This window comes from Homo sapiens, chromosome 15, assembly GCF_000001405.40.
Source record: "Homo sapiens chromosome 15, GRCh38.p14 Primary Assembly".
NCBI lineage: Eukaryota > Metazoa > Chordata > Mammalia > Primates > Hominidae > Homo > Homo sapiens.
This window is the reverse complement of record NC_000015.10, coordinates 88343364-88364969: the sequence shown is the minus strand read 5'-3', so window position 1 is coordinate 88364969 and position 21606 is coordinate 88343364. Positions and strand designations below refer to the sequence as shown.

The 21606-nt window shown below is 41.1% G+C and overlaps 1 long non-coding RNA gene across 1 annotated transcript; it reads right to left on the bottom strand.

Moving 5' to 3' along the window:
- Positions 1-313: 313 nt before the first annotated feature.
- LOC105370959 (uncharacterized) lies at positions 314-20028 on the bottom strand. Its single transcript, XR_932590.1, has 3 exons — positions 19772-20028; positions 18720-18830; positions 314-615 (listed from the first exon to the last, which is right to left on the bottom strand). It is a non-coding gene; the product is annotated as an uncharacterized LOC105370959 (long non-coding RNA).
- Between the last annotated feature and the right edge of the window lie 1578 nt (positions 20029-21606).

The window sequence follows — 21606 nt, the reverse complement described above, 5'->3', positions numbered from 1 at the left end:
ACCAGGTCTGTCTGCCTCCAAAGTTCATGAAAACCTCTTTGTCACAGTTCAGTCAAGTTTCTGGAGAAGAATTTAACATGTTTGGGAAAAATCCATTGTATCCATTGTAAGAAGGAAGAGTTTCTCACTTTGTCCTTGATTTTTCTTCTTCAGAAACTCTTTTTCTTTATAAACTGATGTCTGTTTTTCATTTCCTCTTTCTCTTTCTCCTTCGCCACCTCTCTCCTTGCTTTCTCTTTTCACTTCTGTGGCTAAGGTTATCAAATGTCCTGAGTTGAGTTGCTTGTGGAATCCAAGGGCCCACGCAGTCATCTCTCTGGGTAGAGAAGCTGGTGCAAGCAGTGGGCAGGAGGAAGAGGCTGCCTGGTTGGTGTGGGCAGGAAGGGGACAGGCTGGCCTGGGAGGTGCCCCAGCTGCTCCTGGTTGCCTTGGCCTCTGGCACTCCCTAGACTGGGGACCGATGGCCAAATGGAAGAACCAACAGGGTAATGGATGGAGGATTGCCCACCAGGCAGCATGCCAGACATCAGGACACCCTATGCTGCTCTCCGGCTGAAGTTACCCTGGTCCACATGGTGAGCAGTCAGGATGGGAAGTCTGTAACTGACTTGGCACCTGAAATTTAACCAATGGTTATCAACTTAATAATTAGGTCTCTAACTCATCTATTCAACAAATACTTATTGAAGGCCTACTATACTCGAGACTCCTTTTAAGAGTCTAAATGGACCCTAAAATGATTAAATGTATGTGGCAGATAAGTCATAGGTTCAAGAAACTTCTAGCAGAAGGAAGAGACAGTGAACAAGCCTCATTTTGGAGGAGAAAGGGGGTAGAAAAAAAGGTGCCTGTGTTCAGATGTAAGACTTTTATTTCATTTCTCCGTGCCTCTTTAACCTGTTTCCTACCTTTGTGTTAATTTGTAGCAATTACAGATTGCAGCCAACATCAAAGACACCTGATGTGGATGATCAAAGATTCAGGATTTAAGTAAAGCAAACGGCTTCTCTTTTGTATTTCAAAGGTGAGTGATGCCAATGTTCTCTTTGGGCAAACACTCAGACAGCTCTACGTGTTCAAGGAACATCCATAACACCATGCCCCAGGTAGATGGGATGACCTGTGGATAATTTTTAGGGAGTAACTTCTAGGTCAAGTCATCTAATGGCAGGGCATTTCTTTTCTTTTCTTTTTTTTTAAATTGAGAACTATCTACCATTCAAAGAGCACCGTCATGTTCATGGGACATCCAGAGAGCCTCAAAGGCCATGAGTATCTTGGCATCCTCACTCAGAGAGCTCATATTCTTCCAATTGTGGGGGCCCCAGGGATACACCTGCCGGCAATACACCTGTTGCTGTCAATCATCACCTGTACTGGATAAAACAGTGGCTTTAGGGCCAGAACTTATTTTAAAATCTAGTTCTGTTATTTCCTGTGCAATCTTAGCTAAATTACTTAATCTTCATGAGTTTCAGTGACTCTTTGGGAAACAGAATAGTTAAATAGAAAACACAGAGTCTTTGAAGTTTGAATTTTTGCTCTGCCACTTACTTGTTGTGTAACCTTAGGCAAATAGCTTACTTTTGGGATCTTGGTTTTTACATCTAAAAAATGAAATAAAAAATAAACAAACAAAAAATAAAAATAAGCATAAAAATAAATACCAGCTTCACAGGATTGTTTTAAAGATTAAATAAAAAATCATACATTTCAATCACAGAGTCTGTATATATTACGTGGTCAAAAACATAATTTTTTTTTTTAGTTTTATTATTATTATACTTTAAGTTTTAGGGTACATGTGCACAACGTGCAGGTTTGTTACATATGTATACATGTGACATGCTGGTGTGCTGCACCCGTTAACTCGTCATTTAGCATTAGGTATATCTCCTAATGCTATCCCTCCCCCCTGCCCCCACCCCACAACAGTCCCCGGTGTGTGATGTTCCCCTTCCTGTGTCCGTGTGTTCTCATTGTTCAATTCCCACCTATGAGTGAGAACATGCGGTGTTTGGTTTTTTGTCCTTGCGATAGTTTGCTGAGAATGATGGTTTCCAGTTTCATCCATGTCCCTACAAAAGACATGAACTCATAATTTTTTATGGCTGCACAGTATTCCATGGTGTATATGTGCCACATTTTCTTAATCCAGTCTATCCTTGTTGGACATTTAGGTTAGTTCCAAGTCTTTGCTATTGTGAATAGTGCCGCAATAAACATATGTGTGTGTGTGTCATTATAGCAGCATGATTTATAATCCTTCCGGTATATACCCAGTAATGGGATGGCTGGGTCAAATGTTTCTAGTTCTAGATCCCTGAGGAATCGCCACACTGACTTCCACAATGGTTGAACTAGTTTACAGTCCCACCAACAGTGTAAAAGTGTTCCTATTTCTCCACATCCTCTCCAGCACCTGTTGTTTCCTGACTTTTTAATGATCGCCATTCTAACTGGTGTGAGATGGTATCTCATTGTGGTTTTTATTTGCATTTCTCTGATGACCAGTGATGAGGAGCATTTTTTATGTGTTTTTTTGCTGCATAAATGTCTTATTTTGAGAAGTGTCTGTTCATATCCTTTGCCCACTTTTTGACGGGGTTGTTTGTTTTTTTCTTGTAAATTTGTTTGAGTTCATTGTAGATTCTGGATATTAGCCCTTTGTCAGATGAGTAGGTTGCAAAAATTTTCTTCCATTCTGTAGGTTGCCTGTTCACTCTGATGGTAGTTTCTTTTGCTGTGCAGAAGCTCTTTAGTTTAATTAGATCCCATTTGTCAATTTTGGCTTTTGTTGCCATTGCTTTTGGTGTTTTAGACATGAAGTCCTTGCCCATGCCTATGTCCTGAATGGTATTGCCTAGGTTTTCTTCTAGGGTTTTTATGGTTTTAGGTCTAACGTTTAAGTCTTTAATCCATCTTGAATTAATTTTTGTATAAGGTGTAAGGAAGGGATCCAGTTTCAGCTTTCTACAGATGGCTAGCCAGTTTTCCCAGCACCATTTATTAAATAGGGAATCCTTTCCCCATTGCTTGTTTTTCTCAGGTTTGTCAAAGATCAGATGGTTGTAGATACGTGGCATTATTTCTGAGGGCTCTATTCTGTTCCATTTTTCTATATCTCTGTTTTGGTGTCAGTACCATGCTGTTTTGGTTACTGTAGCCTTGTAGTATAGTTTGAAGTCAGGTAGTGTGATGTCTCCAGCTTTGTTCTTTTGGCTTAGGATTGACTTGGCGATGCCAAGTTCCATATGAACTTTAAAGTAGTTTTTTCCAATTCTGTGAAGAAAGTCATTGGTAGCTTGATGGGGATGGCATTGAATCTATAAATTACCTTGGGCAGTATGGCCATTTTCATGATATTGATTCTTCCTACCCATGAGCATGGAATGTTCTTCCATTTGTTTGTATCCTCTTTTATTTCATTGAGCAGTGGTTTGTAGTTCTCCTTGAAGAGGTCCTTCACATCCCTTGTAAGTTGGATTTCTAGGTATTTTATTCTCTTTGAAGCAATTGTGAATGGGAGTTCACTTATGATTTGGCTGTTTGTCTGTTGTTGGTGTATAAGAATGCTTGTGATTTTTGTACTTTGATTTTGTATCCTGAGACCTTGCTGAAGTTGCTTATCAGCTTGAGAAGATTTTGGGCTGAGACAATGGGGTTTTCTAGATATACAATCATGTCATCTGCAAACAGGGACAATTTGACTTCCTCTTTTCCTAATTGAATACCCTTTATTTCCTTCTCCTGCCTGATTGCCCTGGCCAGAACTTCCAACACTATGTTGAATAGGAGTGGTGAGAGAGGGCATCCCTGTCTTGTGCCCGTTTTCAAAGGGAATGCTTCCAGTTTTTGCCCATTCAGTATGATATTGGCTGTGGGTTTGTCATAGATAGCTCTTATTATTTTGAGATACGTCCCATCAATACCTAATTTATTGAGAGTTTTTAGCATGAAGGGTTGTTGAATTTTTCAAAGGCCTTTTCTATATCTATTGAGATAATCATGTGGTTTTTGTCTTCGGTTCTGTTTATATGCTGGATTACATTTATTGATTTGCGTATGTTGAACCAGCCTTGGATCCCAGGGATGAAGCCCACTTGATCATGGTGGATAAGCTTTTTGATGTGCTGCTGGATTCGGTTTGCCAGTATTTTATTGAGGATTTTTGCATCGATGTTCATCAAGGATATTGGTCTAAAATTCTCTTTCTTGGTTGTGTCTCTGCCTAGCTTTGGTATCAGGATGATGCTGGCCTCATAAAATGAGTTAGGGAGGATTACCTCTTTTTCTATTGATTGGAATAGTTTCAGAAGGAATGGTACCAGTTCCTCTTTGTACCTCTGGTAGAATTCGGCTGTGAATCCATCTGGTCCTGGACTTTTTTTGGTTGGTAAGCTATTGATTATGGCCTCAATTTCAGAGCCTGTTATTGGTCTATTCAGAGATTCAACTTCTTCCTGGTTTAGTCTTGGGAGGATGTATGTGTTGAGGAATTTATCAATTTTTTCTAGATTTTCTAGTTTATTTGCATAGAGGTGTTTATAGTATTCTCTGGTGGTAGTTTGTATTTCTATGGGATTGGTGGTGATATCCCCTTTATCATTTTTTAGTGTGTCTATTTGATTCTTCTCTCTTTTCTTCTTTATTAGTCTTGCTAGCAGTCTATCAATTTTGTTGATCTTTTCAAAAAACCAGCTCCTGGATTCATTAATTTTTTGAAGGGTTTTTGTGTCTCTATTGCCTTCAGTTCTGCTCTGATCTTAGTTATTTCTTGCCTTCTGCTAGCTTTTGAATGTGTTTGCTCTTGCTTTTCTAGCTCTTTTAATTGTGATGTTAGGGTGTCAATTTTAGATATTTCCTGCTTTCTCTTGTGGGTATTTAGTGCTATAAATTTCCCTCTACACACTGCTTTGAATGTGTCCCAGAGATTCTGGTATGTTGTGTCTTTGTTCTCGTTGGTTTCAAAGAACATCTTTATTTCTGCCTTCATTTCGTTATGTACCCAGTAGTCATTCAGGAGCAGGTTGTTCAGTTTCCATGTAGTTGAGCGGTTTTGAGTGAGCTTCTTAATCTTGAGTTCTAGTTTGATTGCACTGTGGTCTGAGAGGCAGTTGGTTATAATTTCTGTTCTTTTACATTTGCTGTGGAGTGCTTTACTTCCAATTATGTGGTCAGTTTTGGAGTAGGTGTGGTGTGGTGCTGAAAAGAATGTATATTCTGTTGATTTGGGGTGGAGAGTTCTGTAGATGTCTATTAGGTCCGCTTGGTGCAGAGCTGAGTTCAATTCCTGGGTGTCCTTGTTAACTTTCTGTCTTGTTGATCTGTCTAATGTTGACAGTGGGGTGTTAAAGTCTCCCATTATTATTGTGTGGGAGTCTAAGTCTCTCTGTAGGTCTCTAAGGACTTGCTTTATGAATCTGGGTGCTCCTGTATTGGGTGCATATATATTTAGGATAGTCAGCTCTTCTTGTTGAATTGATCCCTTTACCATTATGTAATGGCCTTCTTTGTCTCCTTTGATCTTTGTTGGTTTAAAGTCTGTTTTATCAGAGACTAGGATTGCAACCTCTGCCTTTTTTGGTTTTCCATTTGCTTAGTAGATCTTCTTCCATCCCTGTATTTTGAGCCTATGTGTGTCTCTGCATGTGAGATGGGTTTCCTGAATATAGCACACTGATGGGTCTTGACTCTTTATGCAATTTGCCAGTCTGTGTCTTTTAATTGGAGCATTTAGCCCATTTACATTTAAAGTTAATATTGTTATGTGTGAATTTGATCCTGTCATTATGATGTTAGCTGGTTATTTTGCTCATTAGTTCATGCAGTTTCTTCCTAGCCTTGATGGTCTTTACATTTTGGCATGTTTTTGCAGTGGCTGGTACCGGTTGTTCCTTTCCATGTTTAGTGCTTCCTTCAGGAGCTCTTTTAGGGCAGGCCCGGTGGTGACAAAATCTCTCAGCATTTGCTTGTCTGTAAAGTATTTTATTTCTCCTTCACTTATGAAGCTTAGTTTGGCTGGATATGAGATTCTGGGTTGAAAATTGTTTTCTTTAAGAATGTTGAATATTGGTCCCCACTCTTTTCTGGCTTGTAGAGTTTCTGCAGAGAGATCAGCTGTTAGTCTGATGGGCTTCCCTTTGAGGGTAACCCGACCTTTCTCTCTGGCTGCCCTTGACATTTTTTCCGTCACTTCAACTTTGGTGAATCTGACAATTATGTGTCTTGGAGTTGCTCTTCTCGAGGAGTATCTTTGTGGCATTCTCTGTATTTCCTGAATTTGAATGTTGGCCTTCCTTGCTAGATTGGAGAAGTTCTCCTGGATAATATCCTGCAGAGTGTTTTCCAGCTTGGTTCCATTCTCCCCGTCACCTTCAGGTACATCAATCAGACGTAGATTTGTCTTTTCACATAGTCCCATATTTCTTGGAGGCTTTGTTCATTTCTTTTTATTCTTTTTTCTCTAAACTTCTCTTCTTGCTTCATTTCATTCATTTTGTCTTCCATCACTGATACCCTTTCTTCCAGTTGATCGCATTGGCTACTGAGGCTTGTGCGTTTGTCACATAGCTCTCGTGCCTTGGTTTTCAGCTCCATCAGGTCCTTTAAGGACTTCTCTGCCTTGGTTATTATAGTTATCCATTCGTCTAATTTTTTTTCAAAGCTTTTAACTTCTTTGCCATTGGTTCAAATTTCCTTCTGTAGCTCGGAGTAGTTTGATTATCTGAAGCCTTCTTCTCTCAACTCGTCAAAGTCATTCTCCGTCCAGCTTTGTTCCGTTGCTGGTGAGGAGCTGCGTTCCTTTGGAGGAGGAGAGGCACTCTGATTTTTAGAGTTTCCAGTTTTTCTGCTCTGTTTTTTTCCCATCTTTGTGGTTTTATTTACCTTTGGTCTTTGATGATGGTGACGTACAGATGGGTTTTTGGTGTGGATGTCCTTTCTGTTTGTTAGCTTTCCTTCTAACAGACAGGACCCTCAGCTGCAGGTCTGTTGGAGTTTGCTAGAGGTCCACTCCAGACCCTGTTTGCCTGGGTATCAGCAGTGGTGGCTGCAGAACAGCGGATATTGGTGAACTGCAGATGCTGCTGTCTGATCATTCCTCTGGAAGTTTTGTCTCAGAGGAGTACCTGGCTGTGTGAGGTGTCAGTCTGCCCCTACTGGGGGGTGCCTCTCAGTTAGGCTACTCAGGAGTCAGGGACCCACTTGAGGAGGCAGTCTGCCCATTCTCAGATCTCAAGCTGTGTGCTGGGAGAACCACTACTCTCTTCAAAGCTGTCAGAGAGGGACATTTAAGTTTGCAGAGGTTACTGCTGTCTTTTTGTTTGTCTGTGCCCTGCCCCCAGAGGTGGAGCCTACAGAGGCAGGCAGGCCTCCTTGAGGTGTGGTGGGCTCCACCCAGTTTGAGCTTCCTGGCCGCTTTTTTTACCTAATCAAACAACTAGCTCGGCAATGGCGGGCACCCCTCCCCTAGCCTCACTGCCGCCTTGCAGTTTGATCTCGGACTGCTGTGCTAGCAATGAGCGAGACTCTGGGCGTAGGACCCTCTGAGCCATGTGCAGGATATAATCTCCTGGTGTGCCATTTTTTAAGCCCGTTGGAAAAGCTCAGTATTAGGGTGGGAGTGACCCAATTTTCCAGATGCCGTCTGTCACCGCTTTCTTTGACTAGGAAAGGGAATTCCCTGACCCCTTGTGCTTCCCGGGTGAGGCGATGCCTCGCCCTGCTTCGGCTTGTGCACGGTGCGCTGCACCCACTGTTCTGCACCTACTGTCTGGCACTCCCCAGTGAGATGAACCCGGTACCTCAGTTGGAAATGCAGAAATCACCCGTCTTCTGTGTCGCTCACGCTGGGAGCTGTAGACTGGAGCTGTTCCTATTCGGCCATCTTGGCTCCTCCCCCCGCAAAAACATAATTTTTAAACCCTTCATTTAGAATGAAATAGGACCTCCTGGGGTAACTCCTTCCCCAGCCCAGAAATGGCACTACCATCTACCCAAGTGCTTGGCCCCAAAACCTAGAAGTCATTCATGATTCTTCTTTTTACATCACCATCATCCCCTTTCTCCAGCATATAATTCAACAGCAAGTTTCTTGACTTGACTCCTAAATGCCTCTTGAATCTGTCTTCACTCTCCATCTTCACTGCTAATCACTCTGTTTGTAGCCATAATAATCTCTCCCTTAGCAGTTTTAAAACATGGTCCCCAAATTCTTTAACACTTTTGGCATCAAGAGGTGGAGTTGATGTTCCTTCCCCCTTGAACCTGGGTGGGCCCAAGACTACTTTAACTAATTGCATATGGTGGAAGTGAAGCTATGTGACTTCTCTGAATAGATCATAAAAAGCTTCTTTTTGCTTCTCTTGGAACACTCACTTTGGATGCTCCCTATTGTAACTAAGCTGCCATGCTATGAGGAAGCCCAAGAGGCAGGCATGTTGGTATTCCAATTAACAGTTCCAGCTTAACTCCGCTAGTGCAGTTCCCACCCATTTAAATCATCTCAGCCATTTGAGACTTCCAACCTGAGGCTTCAGACATCATGAGCATAGATAAACCATGTCGATTGCACTCTTTCTGAATTCTTGACTCATAGATAATGACCATAATAAAATAATATTTTGTTTTTTTATTTAAAAATTTTTACAGTTTTCTCTATATGCCAGAAAGTTATAGTTTTAATGCTTCTGAATTTGGGGTAGTTTGTTACATGGTGATAGATAACCAGAATGCTCCTCTTGACTATTGGCATGCTCTCCCAACTTATTTCCCTCCTTCCACTAATATCTATTCTCCACACAGCAGCCAGAGGAATCTCTTGGAAATGTGAATCAGATAACATCACTCTGTCATGTGAAATTCTTTCAAACGTCTTACCTTGGTCTACTAGACTCATGTGTTCTGGTCCCTCTTCTCAGGTGCATGCTAGAAGTGAAACACTCATCTCTAGGGAAATCAGAGACTGACCAGGGGCAAATGATGTTGGACACAAAAATCACCTATTACAGCTCGGTTTCAGCTTCCCCATCTCAAGGGCCAAGGAAGCATCTCCTGTACTTGTGTGGGTTTTAGAACCCTGGTTTATAGACCCTAAACCCTCTGCAGATGGTCATGACCTTCCTGTACCTTTTTGGCTCTGTCTTATCTCTTGATTTCTGGCACTATGACATTTCCCTTTCTTTCTTTCAAGTGCAGCCATATTTTAAAAACAATATCAAGTGTTTCTATGTGTTTGTAACTGAAGGGAAGAGCTGCATCAACTTAACAGAACATGTTGCAAGAAGTCTGAAAACTCTATCTGTACATAATATGATCATCTACTTAAGAAAATCAGCTAAAAAGCAGTTGGAAGTTAGAGTGTTTGGCAAGTTGATCAGAGAGCAGAGCTGAGTACACTCATCTAAATTCATACTGTCCTGTAACTCCACTAAAACCACCAGTAAAGGGTTCCTTTTTTTGCTACAAATCCACAAGTTTGGGTAAAATGAGAGTGGAGACAATGGTATCATTTTGGAAGCTAGAAAGGAGATGGACAAGTGATAACATATGTAGCTGACCTGAGAAAGAAGACTCTGAAAGCAGCAGTGAAAAAACCCACCAACCAACCAAATTTACACTGCAGAATCCTCAAAGGCTCAGGGATTACTGGCATCAGAAACTCTCAGAACTGGAGATAGAGGTGGGAATAAAGAGGATTGGTGGAAATCTGTTTCAGAAACAGGAATGGGGAATTATTGCCTAATGAGTACAGAGTTTGTGTTTGGGGTGATGAAAAATTCTGGAAGTAAATAGTAGTGATGGTTGCACAACACTGTGAATATAATTCACACTACGATTAAAGTAGCAAATGTTATGTCATATATGTTTTACCACAATAAAAAAGAAGCAGTTAGACTCCTACATTTTCTCCCTCATTCCTTGCTGATGGGTTAGGAAGCCCTAACATCCTGGCCAAGATACAAGGGGTTTATTTTCTGGAGAGGTAAAAGAGAGTGTCCATAGATAGAGGACACCAGGCATAGTCAATGTTATGGGTACCATACTGAAAATAGGGAGACAAAATGACTGAATGCAAACTGGATGCTTAGACTCCGAGGCTTTCTCCTCTACTCTGTGCCCTCTTTGAATCCCAGAACACAGCCCTTTAACTTCCTAGCAGGAGATTAGAATAAATGTTTCTGGGGAATCTGAGTAGCTCAATAAGAAAGACTGAAGAGACTTACATTGAGGTTCCCTAGCAAATGGCCCAGCTGTATCACTTAACAGTGTAGTTCACAATCAACAAGTGCCACAATGAGCTCAGGACTTTCAATCAATGCTTTAGGTCCCCACTCTTAAATATAATTATCAGAGATTTGAGAATGTGAGAATGACTCTAATGTGAATGATTGAATACCAAACAAGCTAGTAGGCAGACAGAAAAAGGCAACAGGTAGGAAACAAGAATAGGACAGGAAAAAGGAAATAGGTAGGATAGCATCTGTGAAACAAGAACATGATGCTATCCAAAGAGAATGGACATTTAGAGAACAAAATAAACTTTTAGAAACTAAAATCATGGTAGTGGAAGTGGAAAACTCAATAGAAGGGTTAGAAGATAAAGCTAGGCAAATTTCTCAGATAGTATACCAGGAAGACAAGAAAAACACAAAGTAGAAGAGGAAAAAAAATATAGAGTTTCAATCTAAAATGCTCAACATCTGAATAATAAGAGTGTCAGAAGGATAAAACAAAGACAGTGAACAAGAGAAAATCATCAACGAAGTAATTTTAAAAAGTTTATAACTTAAGAACATGAAAACCCAACACTAACATTTATATTCTGAAATTTTAGAATGCTGTTGTATTAGTATGAGTTTTATACTGCTGTGTAATAAATTACCATAAACTTAAGTAGTTCAAATGGACATACATTTAGCATAGCATGGTTTCTATGGGTCAGGGGTTTAGACATAGTGTAACTGAGTCCTCTACTCAGGGTCTCATGAGGCTGCAATCCAGGCTTTGTTCCTATCTGGAGTTTGGGGTTCTCTTCCAATCTCATGTGATAATGTTGGCAAAACTCAGTTCCTTGTGGTTGTAGGACTGAGGTCCTTGCTTCCTTGCTGGCTGTCAGCTGGGAGCTACTCTCATCTCTCAGAGGTACCCTTGCCATATTGTGCTTTCATAGACCATCTCGCAACATGATAACTTAGTTTTAGTTTTTCAAAGTCTGCAGAAAAATCTCTCACTCCAGTCTAAGATGGAGTTTTATATAACATAAAATAATCACATGAGTGACTATCCCATCACCTTTGTTATAGAATGTAACCTAACCAAGGGAATGACTTTCCCATCACCTTTGGTATATTCTATTCACTAGAAGTAAGTCTCAGTTTCTGTCCTCAGATTACACATGAGTGTAACCCATTGAGGGTCATCTTAGAATTCTTCCTACTATAATTGGGACAAATGAAGCTCTTGTAAGCTTTCAGAGGGAAATAAATAGGTTAATATAAATGATCAGGCAGTTGAATGGTTCAGATTTCTCAACAGCAGTGTTGGAAGCTAGAAGACAATGGAGTGGTGCTATCAAAATTCCAAAGAGAAAGGATTTCCTACCTACAGTTCTATACCCAGCCAAACTATCTATTGAGCATGACAACAGGATATGAATATTGTTGAAAAAAAGCGTCTCAAATATTTACTTTCTACACATTCTTTCTCAAGAAGCTACTGGAGACTATGTTCCATAAATCAAAGTAGTAACTAATGAAAGGAAGACATCTGATTCAAGAAACAGGAAATAGAGAATCTTCAGCATAGCAGGGAAGGTACATCCTCCAAAGATCAACCTGAACAGATTAGAGCAGGTTAGAAGCCCTGGGGATCAAGATGAAATTGACAGACAGTTGAGATGAGTGAATGGGATGAGAAAAGATTTAGACAACTGGCAGAAGGATTTGTTTAAACTGATGGTAAGAACATAAAAATTAAAGTGATTGAAAAACTATTATTAACTTCAGATACAACAAAAAATTATTCAGGAAAAAAATAAAACCATAGTTTACTACATAGCTGAGCTCTGCATAACTGTGGGTTTATTACAGTGTAAATACTGAACATTAATCTAACCAAATTGATGACATAATTATACAGTTTTGAAAGGATGTTATTACAGGTTGAATTGTGTTCCCATAAAATATGTTGACGTCCTAATCCTCAATACCTGTGAATGTGACTTCATTTGAAAATAAGTTCTCTGCAGATGATCAAGTTAAGATGCGGCCTTTGGAGTAAGCTCCAGTTCAATATGACTGGTGCATTATAAAAAGGAGAAATCTGAATATATAGAGACAGAGACACAGTGAAAACATTGTTGTGAAGATTGGAGTTATGCTGCCATAGGCCAAGAAATGCCAAAGATTCCTAGCAAACCACCAGAAACTAAGAGAGAGGCATAGGACAGTTTTTTCCTCACAGTTTCAGAAGGAACCAACCTTGCTGACACCCTGACTTCAGAGTTCTAGTCCCCAGGACTGTGAGACAATACATTTCTGTTGTTTGTCACCTAGTTTGTGGCACTTTGTTATGGCATCCCTACAAACCTAACACAGGTGGGAAGTACGTGTGTGTTGGTGGGAGGCAGGGAAAGGGAGATGAAAGAGTCAACACTTCATCTTCCTGAGTGGGAAGTTAATACATATTTCCTACACACAAAATATCAAGAAATAGTAGTATATGCATGGCATTTAGAGCTACTGAGGTGAATACTTGCTGTGGATTGGGTATGGTTTATTTGTCCCCATCAAAGCATAATGGAAAATGGTGAGAGATGAAGCTGAATAGTGGGGCCGAAATCAGGTCACTAAAAAGCCATTCACTCAATGGGAGTTTGCTCTGTTTTATAGGAATGGGAGCCTTTGAAGGTTTTCAAGTGGCAGAGTGAGACAGAAGGTGATGTTTCTCTCATGGTATAAACAGATGGGTGATTTCTCAATACAAGATGTCCATTTCAATACAAGATGGACAGACAGGCTGTGTTACTGGCTTCAATTCTTCGGGCAGACCCTCTAAAGACCCTATCTTAATCAGCTTGGATTGCTACAACAAATTAGCATAGAATGGGTGGCTTCAACAACAGAAATTTACTTCTCACAGTTCTGGAGGCTGGGAAGTCCAAGATCAAGGCTCAGCAGGTCTGGTTCCTGGTAAGGGTTCTCTTACTGGTTTTAAGATTGAGACAGAGCTCCACCACTTCCTGATTGCTTGAAGAGGCATACCTTTTTTGAGCCTCCATTTCGTTATTTCTAAAATGGGGATAATAATATCTGTTCTACTCTCCTCACAAGCTTTTGTGAGGATCGGCTGAGATAATGCAACTGAAAGCAATTAATAAACTCTATTATTTTAGCCACAGTTTCTTGTTAGGTCTGTTCGGCCTGCATCCTCCCGCCCTTAAACTTTTTGGTTCACTGGGGCCAACACCTTCCCCTTGGCCATGCTCATTGGCTGAAGGATGGTCATATGACCTAAGCTGGCCAATAAGCCTTTTGCTGGTTATATTGAGGGGGAAAAAAAGTGCTCTTTCTCCTGGAAGCCATCTTGTCTCCAGGGAATAGGCAGTCTTGAGAATGAGAACAACACAGAGAAAAGCAGAGAGATGTTTAAAGACAAATTTCTGATGATGTCGTTTCAGCATCTGCATCAAATAATTCATTTTTTCATTCCACAACTAGTTATTAAGTTCCTCTTATAGTCCATAACAATTTCTGGATTCTTGGCATTTGGTGATAAATGAAAGAAAGACCCTACTCTCATGGTGCTTGCATTCCAGTGGGCAGCCCTGGCAATACACAAACACTAAATAAATGCATGATATAATGCCAGGTAGTAATAGATTCTAAGAAGAAAATTTACAGCAGAATAGGGGAAGACCGAGGTGAGGTGTTATTTAGATGGAATGGCTGAATCCACCTCTACCTCTGGATTTTTTAAACTTCATGAGCCAATAAAACCTCATTGAATTGTGGTGCTATCAGTCACCACCAACAGTCCTGATGAATACAGCTTTACAAATGTAAGGATTGGTAATGATGCTGATGATGATTATAATTATAATAGCAGCACAAAAGCCTCTTGAGAATGAATTGGATCATTCCTCCTGGGAATCCATGTCTAAGATATTTATGCCAGTGAAACAACCCAAGGATAGGAAATTATCAAACGATTCCCAAAAATATTCCTCATAGAATTAAGTGCATACAAGGGTCATTCCTCTGGATTCATCAGTTGTATCAATTCACTTGAAAGCCAGAAATTCAACTTAAAAATGCATTTTGAAAGTTGAAGACACTGAGCATCAAGTCAATCAAAGCATTCAGCTGGTCATCTGTGGCCACCTGGCTCTAGTGATATTAACAGGACTGACACCTATCGCTTATGTGGAGTTAGGGGACACTGTAAAAGCATTAGAAATGATGAAGTTAAAGAACATTCACAGCCACTAGTCACAGTCAGTTGACTTTCTGCAGTTCTTATAGGGTAGTTAGAGGCTAATAGTTTCAAACCCTGATGTTGCTCAGGGTTATTGATAGCCAGTCATCAAGGTTGAGCATGCAAATGTCCATTCATATCATCATTTCCACAGAGGTTTTCTAAGTTTGAGTCCTTTAATTTTAAATTCCTGACACTCAGGAAATATTCTAATGCTTTGTAACTTTATAACCACTCACCCCTACCCTCCCACCACCACCCTCTTTCTTTTCCTCTCTCTTCTGTAAAATTTTGGTGTGGTGATTAGTATTTCAGGGATGCACCAACCACGGGAGTTTTCTCAGCTTGAACTCTCAAAAGAACATTGAAACATCCTATATAGTTTTGATGCATAGAATGTACACCAAATAAAAAAAAATGTGAAACTGGAGCTTCCATTATTGTCCTCCTGAGCTGCCACGCCTACACTGTGAATAATATTTGTCTTACTCAGATTAAGACGTGCACAAGCCAAGATGAACCTACTCAAAAAATAAAACAAGTGCTTCCAGCCTTCCTGTACCTGCTGGAATTTTCTCATGTTTCCCTTCCACAAAATGCAACAATTGCTGAGATGCTGCTTCACCTGCTGGGAAAAGGTGTTCGTTATCCCTGAACAAGACAGAATGAGGACCCTTTCCAGAATGTCAAGCAGGTGTTGTCTTCTGTCACTGTGCTGGTTTGAAGTGTTGCACACCAGGACTGAAATGAGCTTTGCAAAGACAATATTCTGTCAGGAGTGCTATAATCATGGTTTTGGCTTATTTTTGCACCAGTATCTTGATTCCAAGAAACATTTATAATCTGCCAGATAAATGTATAGTTCAGCATTTCCCTAAAAATACTGGAACACTGAATGTTACATTTAAGAAAGAGTTCTATGGTCAGGCAAGTTTAAGAAACACTAGGTTAAAAAAAAAGTTTAGGCGATAATACACATTGGTTAAGCAGAACCTTATAAATGATAATGCACATTGTAAGTATATCAGAGCAAGGTATGACAGGGTTCCTAAATTTATTTTATCACAGATTTTTTTTTTAGGTGGGAACATCTATTAACACTCTACAGAGCACAGTGTGGGACAAATCAAATTATAGCAATATTCAGTAGAATTTTTTATCCCCAGACCTTGAGAATTCAATACAAATGAATAAATGAGACTGTTCGAACACACACAATGGAAAGAGATTAAAAGAGATAATACTCTGAATTTATAAGTATAATTAAACCTAACAAACTACACATTTTTAAAACAAACAGCTTCTCTGCTTATGAATTTCCAAGTTGCAAACTTTTATAGATAGAAACAACACAAAGCTACAAAACAAGATCACATTAACTCAGCCTCCCACCAAAGGTGGTGGTAGTTGCAGTGTGAGGTTCTTTTAGTCTGGACCATAGAGTCCTTTGTTGTACAGTCATGCACCAGATAACAGAGTTTCATGTAACAACAGGAAACAGGTGTGTCCCATAAGATATAAGACTGTATTTTTACTGTACCTTTTCTATGTTTAGGTACACAAATACCTACCACTGTGTGACAGTTGCCTACAGTATTTGGCATAGGAGCATGCGGTGCAGGCTTGTTGCCTAGGAGCAACAGGCTATACCATACAGCCTCTTGTGTGTGTAGTAGGCTAGGTGTGTAATAGGCTAGACCATTTAGGTTTGTGTAAGTGCACTCTGTGATGTTCACACAATGACAAAATCACCCAATGACACATTTCTCAGAATGTATCCCCGTGGTTAAGTGACACATAACTCTTAGTGGCAATCTTGCTGGGGTTCTATTTAGTTCCAAGGTATTTTGCAAACATTAATTTCATTGTATCCAGTGAATACAAACGCAGTGAACGTTTTAAATTGCTGAAATAAAAGGTGTGCAATTGTTATGGAATTGAAAGAAGAGAATTGTATGGAATTGAAAGATTGAAAGTGCTGAGAAAAATAATGCCTGTTGCTCTATGTGCTGTGAGTTTTCCAAAAGGAGGTGTGGTTCAGAAGGACAAAGCACTTAACTTGCAATGCGCTGTGCATACACCGTCCATGATACTCAGCAAGAGAGGAGGAAAAAGGACAAACACAAAAACTAGAGCAGAGCACTGCAAGATCCGCATCCAGATGGGCTACCTATCAGCCAGATACTCATTCAGGAGAGATCTGGGACATAGCTCAGTGACCTAAACGGCAGAATATGCTGAAGGTGCTGTTGCTGAACTGTTCATTCATTCGTTCACTCAGCACCTATTTTATTTTATTTTTTGGGACAGAGTCTCACTCTGTCGTTCAGGCTGGAGTGCAGTGGCGCAATCTCAGCTCACTGCAGCCTCCACCTCCTGGGTTCAAGCAGTTCTCCCTGCCTCAACCTCCCAAGTAGCTGGGATTACAGGTACCCACCACCTCACCCAGCTAATTTTTGTATTTTTTTAGTAGCGATGGGGTTTTGCCATGTGGCCAGGCTGGTCTTGAACTCCTGACCTCAGGTTATGCACCTGCCTCGGCCTCTCAGTGCTGGGATTACAGGCAGGAGCCACCATGCTCAGCCACCTATTTTACTGAGTGTCCACTATGAGCCAAACATTGTGCTGGCTACGGGGAACACATTAGTGACTAAAACAGATATAGCTAGTCCCTGCCTGTAAGGAACTGATAGTCTATGGAAGAATGGGGGATGGAGGGAGCAGACAACAAACAAACAGAAATATAGAAGTGTAAACGCTGGTAAGTGCCATGAAAGAAACGAGACAAGGGCAGTGATAGAAGCAACTGAAGCAGAGGTTTGGTAGGTGGTGGTGTCAGGATGGTTCTTGGTTTCAGGTCTTTCAAATCTGCACAGGCCAGAGTGGGTGGGGGCATGGCACATTGCAGCTATCGTGGCAGCTGAGGCCCTCCATGGGCTGAGGGTGGGGGCAGGAGGGAATTACCTGGCTCCACAGATTTCCCCGCTACACTGATCTGATCTACTTTGGAGAAAAGAAGACCCATAAAATATTTATTAGCATAAAGAAGCAGCATCTGCTGGTTTTAAAGTTTCAAGGGACTTACACTCAGATTAAGTGGAAATACTCCTTGTTCCCTCCAGACTCACAAACAAATAGACTTACAAAGAACATAACTGTTCTTAAGTAGAGGAACTTCCGTGCTACCTAGCAAGAGTCTGGTGTTAGTTTTTAATTTCTTATCATTAAAGAACAGAGAAAATGTTTAATTGGATTTAGCTAAGAGAATTGTCTGCTCAGGCTTGATCTGGATTTTTTTTCCCTTATATTGTGCACCTAAGAGTCTCCTGAGCCTCTTCTTCCTACACTGATCTTGGCCCACACTGGTCTACATTTTCTGTGTCACAACCTTCTTTTGCAGACAACCCTGTCTTTATTTAATAATTTAATAGATCAAAATGTATTCAGCATTTACTCATTGTAAGGCTGTGTTTACTCAGATTGGGTTGGGATATGAGTAATAGAAGAATCCAAAATTAACAATGGCTTTAAAAGATAGAAGGTTATTTTTCTCTCAAATAAAAATTAGAAGATGTGTCGTCCAGGGAAAGTACAGCAGCTCTGCTCCACAAAATATTCAAGAAGTCAGGAGCTTTCTCCCTTGTGGTTCCACCAAGCATGACTCCTGTTTACCTCATGAGCCAGCAGGCTTGCTTGAACTCCAGTCATCAGTTCTGCATTCACAGACAGCAGGAAAAAGATAAGGGAGAAAAATCCTTTCAAGGAAACTTCCTGGAAGCTGCACTCACCACTTCCACTTACATCCTTTGGGCCAGGACTAGTCACTTACCTACACACAGCTGCAAGGAAGGTTGGGAATTTGTTTTCTATCAAAAATAAAAAGACGGGCCAGGTGCAATGGCTCACGCCTGTAATCCTAGCACTTTGGGAGGCTGAGGTGGGAGGATCATTTGAGACCAGGAGGTCGAAATCAGCCTGGGCAACATGTTGAAACCCCGTTTCTACAAAAACTACAAAAAATTAGTCCAGCATGGTGGCACATGCTTGTAGTCCCAGCTACTTGGGATGCTGAGGTAGGCAGATTGCTTGAGCCTGGGAGGCAGAGGTTGCAGTGAGCTGAGATCACGCTACTGCACTTCAGCCTGGGTGACCGAGTGAGACTCTGTTTGAAACAAACAAACAAACAAAAAAGTGGAAAGAAGTGCTGCCTCAGCCAACAAGCTCCACAGGTTATCTGTTACCGGTTTTATCTTCCGGTCTTCATGGCTCTGCTGAGCTCTTCATCATCATTATCCATAACTCAATTCCTTTTGAAGTTCTGCTGTCTGTGAGAAGCCAGATCTCTATCACCTCTGGAGGGAAAACACATTTTGATTTTGTCAGAGCTGAAAATTGCCCATTGGGCAAAAACCCAGACACTGGAAGACATCCTATGTACTACTAGAATTTGTCTAAATTGCAGCAGCTTATACAGTTACCATTTAACGTCTTCATGTTCACTATCTTGCAGATTGAAGTGTTAATATTTTTAGAGAGTTTGAGCAAGGGAGCAAGAAAAGGGTTAATTTTTATGAAAGAGCCATATTATGACATATATGAGCTTGGAAGCACTTTACTCACTTATGACCCTGCTATGCTGCTGTCCCCTAGAGTTTGTATGTTGAAATCCAATACCTAATATGACAGTATTAAGAGCTGGAGCCTTTTGGGGGTGATTAAGTCATGAGGGTTCCACCCTCTTCAGTGGGATTAGTAACCTTTTAAAAGAAGCTTGAGAGAGCTGCCTTCCTCCTTTACCATGTGAGGACACACAGAATGCACCAAGATGAGGAACAGGGACTCAACAGGCACAGAATCTGCTGGTGCCTTGATCTTGGATTTCCCAGCCTCTAGAACTGTGAGCATTACATCTCTGTTGTTTATAACTTACCCACTCTAAGGTGTTTTGTTATAGCAGCCTGAATAAACTTAGATGGACCTCCAAAAAATAATAATTGGCATGCAGAATATCATTCACTGAATTACTTTATTTAATATCTATTTCTTGAGCACCTACTATATGCCTGATGCTAGGCACTGGGCATACAGCAGAGAACAAGACAGTCAAAGTCCTCATGGTGCAAGTATTCTAGTGGTGGGGAGGGAAAGAATGAACAAGCGAACAAATTCAGAACATAATTTCAGTTAGTGAGTAAGGGGAGAGAATGACTGGGATGGGTGGGGAAACTATTCTAACAGGAGGTGACATGTTATTATTGATGAATGATAATAGTTAACTCTTATTTACACTTACCATGCAATAGGCATTATTCTAAGATTTTACATGCACTGGCTTATTTGATTTTCATAACTGTCCATCCACTCAGGCACACAGAGCTGGGGTTTGAGCCCAGGCAGGCTGGCTCCAGTGTTCTTGCTCTTAATGCTTCAAGATAAGATCTCCTGAGAGAATAAGCAGAAGACAGCCACATAAGGATCTGGAAAAGAACATTCCAGAAAATGGACTAAGCAAGGCTCAAGTTTCTGAGGCTGGCTGGCACCAATATGTTTGGAGATCCACAGGAATGCCAGCATGACTGGAGACTAGAGGTGAAGAGTGTGAGAAAGCCAGGCCGAGGTCTGCTGACGGGGCCAGAAGGCCAACCCAGTAGGGAATTGCCAGAGAGTCACAAGAAGGGACAGGTCTGCATAGCACCTTTTCTTCCTTATCACTCGGCCTCGCTCAGTGTGCCACTGCCCCCGAGATGCTCAGCCGCACTCAGCCACAAAATCACACAGGGCCGTCTGCTTTCCACTCAAGAGCCAGGTTATCTACAGAGAGGCCTTATGCCACACTGATGCAAACGTATTTATTATTACTACAGTTAAGAAGCATCACTGTTTTTTTCTTTTATAATCCCTCGCCTTTATAATAAGACTGAAAACTACGTGCTTTCGGGGTTCCTTGGAGGAAGAGCCCATGCTGCCTTCATCTCTGGGTAGGCAATGCCAGTGTCTCCGCATGGGGTTTTAAAGTATACTCCTGACAAGTGGGAGGAGGCACAAGCTCTGAGGGATCGAGTAGGCTGCCTTCATTGGCCCCTTCCGTTGGAGGTGTCAACATGGAAGTCCTCCCTGAAGCATGCCTCCTCAGGTGGGTTAATAATACCATGACCGTCCCTGGGTCAATGGCTGACTGAGGTCTGTGATTGATGTCAAGGGGTGTCTGCTATGGGTTTAATGTTTATGTGCCCCTAAGATCTGTACATCAAACCCTTTGATAGGGTTTGGATCTGTGTCCCTATCAAATCTCATGTCAAGAAGTAATCCCCAATGTTAAAGGTGGGGCCTGGTAGGAAGTGATTGGATCATGGGGGTGGTCCTCCATGAATGGTTTAGCACCATCTCCTGCTGCTGTTCTCATGAGATCTGGTTGTTTAAAAGTGGGTGGCTCCTCCTCCCCACCTTCCTCTTGCTCTGGCCATGTAAGATGTGCCTGCTTCCCCTTCCCTCATAATTGTAAGTTGCTGGAGGCCTCCCCAGAAGCAGAAGCCACTGTATCTTCTGTACAACCTGCAGAATCATGAGCCAATCAAACCTCTTTTCCTTATAAATTACTCAGTCTCAGTTATTTATTTATAGTGTGTGAGAATGGACTAATACACCCCTAAACCTCAATGTGATGGTATTTGGAGATGGGGCCTTAGGGAGATAATCAGGTTATCAGGTGGAGGCTTCACAACAAGATTATTGCCCTTATTAGAAGATATGTGAGAAGGTTTGCTTCCTCTCTCTGGCTTGTCTTTGCAGAAGTAGCTGAAAAAATGGGACAAGGCAAGAGATTTGATAAAAATCCTTGAAGGTTTTAAAATTCTTTGGGTGGTTGACTTTGCTTCACCTGTTGGTCTCTCAGTGGAGCCAACCGGTTGGACATGAGTGGTAATAACTAAAAGGTTTAGCCTAGCATGTGGAAAGTGAGGACTTACTACATTGTGAGGACGGACTGGCAATAACAGCAAATTCTCTGAGCCTGATGACCTGAATCTGAAAAAAAAAAAAAAAAAAAAAAAAAAAAAAAAAAGGCATCATATCTAGGCAACTCACAATCTCCTCTGATCCATGTGGAAGCATAGAAATTTATCTTCTTGC